The sequence below is a fragment of the Homo sapiens genome, chromosome 1, assembly GCF_000001405.40.
Source record: "Homo sapiens chromosome 1, GRCh38.p14 Primary Assembly".
NCBI classification, from domain to species: domain Eukaryota; kingdom Metazoa; phylum Chordata; class Mammalia; order Primates; family Hominidae; genus Homo; species Homo sapiens.
Window position 1 is genome coordinate 39980373 of NC_000001.11, and position 2804 is coordinate 39983176.

The following is a 2804-nucleotide window of genomic DNA, read 5'->3' on the forward strand; positions in this document are numbered from 1 at the left end:
ACAAGTCATAAGAACCAACTGTACATGTCTATGTCTCTTCTAGTCTTTGAGTTCCTAGGGCAGGACCCACCTTGGATCACAAGTCTTTGTATATCCAGGATCTAACACAATGCCTAGCACAAAGTGGAGTCATAAATATGTTGAAAAGAATGGAGGCAGGGAAGAGAGGAGAAGAAAGTGACAGGAGGTAGCAGTCAGAGAAGGTTTAGGACTGGGTGTGTTGGATAAGATCTAGAGCCTACCTTTTTCCCTCCAGGGCAGCTGGGCAGGGTTGCGTGGGGCTTATATCTCCAAGGCAATCAAGGAAGTCCCTGATTGCTGTGGCTTAAGGCTCTTTCTGGGGTGAGGCCCAAGCCCTAAAGAGGCCCAGCCCTGCCTGCTCACCATCCAGGAAATTGCCCTTTGTCTGGTAGAAATCCTGTTAAATTAGCCTGGGTTGAGTGGACTGGATTCCTGCCCCAAGGTGATCCAAGGGGGCCTGGGTGGCGTAGGAGGAAGCTGGGATGTCCTAGGGCTACTGAGGGTCAGAGAAATAGGAAAGGGCAGGACTGTTTGCCCTTACTGTGTTTCATAAGAGATGGGGAATGAGTCCTAAAGTCTCTCTTTCTCCTGTCTGCCACTACAGTCACCGCAGTCACTCTCCCAGTACCTTCCCCTTCAGTGACTCCCATCTGGCCCAGGTGGCCATCCGTGTGGCCTCAAAGGATGTCAGTACCAGAGAAGGCCCAAGAACTACCCAGCCTAGACTCCAGGCTCAGAGAGGACAAGGAAGTTGCACAAGGTCACACAGCCAGCCACAGGCAGAAGGAGAGAATCTGTCTCACTCCTAGCTCAGAGTTATTTTTGTTTTCCAACCAATTTTTTTTTTTTTTTGAGACAGAGTCTCACTCTGTTGCCCAGGCTGGAGTGCAATGGTACGATCTCGGCTCACTGCAACCTCCGCCTCCTGGGTTCAAGCAATTCTCCTGCCTCAGCCTCCCAAGTAGCTGGGATGTGCGCCATCACGCCCGGCTAATTTTTGTATTTTTCGTAGAGACGGGGTTTCGTCATTGTTGGTCAGACTGGTTTTGAACTCCTGACCTCAGGTGATCTGCCTGTCTCGGCCTCCCAAAGTGCTGGGATTATAGGTGTGAGGCACCGCGCCTGGCCATTTTTTCCCACCAAATTTATCAGTTCCTTCTTTTCTTTCTTTCTTTATTTCCTTTCTCTCGTTCTTTCTCCCTTTCTCCCTTTCTTCTTCCTTTCTTCCTTTTTCTTTTCTTTCTCTCTTTTTTTTTTTCAAGGTCTCACTCTGTCCCCTAAGCTGGAGTACAGTAGTGTGACCATGGCTCACTGCAACCTCGAAATCCTGTGCTCAACAAATCCTCCTGCCTCAGCATCCTGAGTAGCTGGGACTAGAGGCGTGCCACCTTGCCCAGCTAATTATTTTATTTTTTGTAGAGACAGGGTCTCCCTATGTTGTCCAAGTTGGTCTTAACTGCTGAGCTCAAGTGACCCTCCCTCCTTGGCCTCCCAAAGTACTGAGATTACAGATGTGAACCACCTCCTGGCCTGTCCGTTTCTTAAGAACCAAGACTTTTGTCCTGTGTCCTTCCCTCCCTTTTCACTGCCATCAGGGCTCAGACTCCAGAGCTAGTCCTCCAGCAATCTATGGCTTTCAGCAGATGGGTTTGGCCATTTCTGTTAACACAAAGGGACAACTCATAGTGTGGGAGGGGCTGTTCTACTCCTTGCTGTTCCTTAAAGGAGTAGCAGAGGCAGAGGACGAGACCTAGGCTGTCTAATCCAACCCCACCTGATGCGTGGATGCCTGTGGCTGCCTTCTGCTTGCTCATGCCTTTGGCAGCCAGCTCATTTTGGCTCAAGGCAGCCTGTTTCATTTGTGGAGAAGGGCATAAAAAAAGGTTTCCTTCATCTTGAAAGCTATCTCCTTGTGGCTTGTCCCCACAGATTCTAGATCCTCTCTTTGGCATCTGCACAATACAACCCTTCTCTTTGTCCCATGGAAGACCTGCATAAATTTGAAGACAGATCTTGTCCCTAGAAATGAGATCAAGGCCTGTCATTCTTCTAGTTATACTTGTTTTAGTAGTCTATAAAGACCAAGCATTTATTTTGCTTTTGTAATTAAAAATAAACAAAAAACTCCTTACTTTTCAATGTTTTATTGAGATATAATTTACATTCAGGAGGCTGGGCGCGGTGGCTCACGTCTGTAATCCCAGCACTTTGGGGAGGCCAAGGCGGCTGGATCACCTGAGGTCAGGAGTTCGAGACCAGCCTGGCTAACATGGTAAAACCCCGTCTCTACTAAAAATACAAAAATTAGCCGGGTATGGTGGTGCATGCCTGTAATCCCAGCAACTCGGGAGGCTGAGGCAGGAGAATTGTTTGAACCTGGGAGGCGGAGGTTGCAGTGAGCGGAGATCGCACCACTGTACTCCAGCCTGACAACAGAGTGAGACTCCGTCTCAAAAAAAAAAAAAAAAAAAGAAATCTTTACTTACCCCAATATCAAAAAAATTATCTTATGTTTTTATTTAGAAGTTGTTTTATTGTTGTTTTATACTTTTTTTATTTAGGTCTATGATCCACTCAAATTAATTTTTGTGTATAGTGTGAGTTAAGGGTCAGAGTTTATTTTTCTCTGTACTTATCCAATTATTCCAGCACCTTTTATTAAAAGGACGTCCCTCCCCTACTTGATTACAGTGGCATAAATCAAAAGAACCTATATGTGTAGGTCCATTTTTGGACTCTATTTTTTTTTTTTTTTTTTTTTTGAGACAGAGTCTTGCTCTGTC

At 46.3% G+C, this 2804-nt stretch overlaps 1 annotated feature.

The window, feature by feature from the left end:
- Positions 1-854: an enhancer, noted in NCBI's record as "H3K27ac-H3K4me1 hESC enhancer chr1:40446045-40446898 (GRCh37/hg19 assembly coordinates)". NCBI's record gives its function as "activates a minimal SCP1, AML or CMV promoter by ChIP-STARR-seq in primed H9 embryonic stem cells {active_cell/tissue: H9 hESC(primed)}" and the evidence as "EXISTENCE:reporter gene assay evidence [ECO:0000049][PMID:30033119]".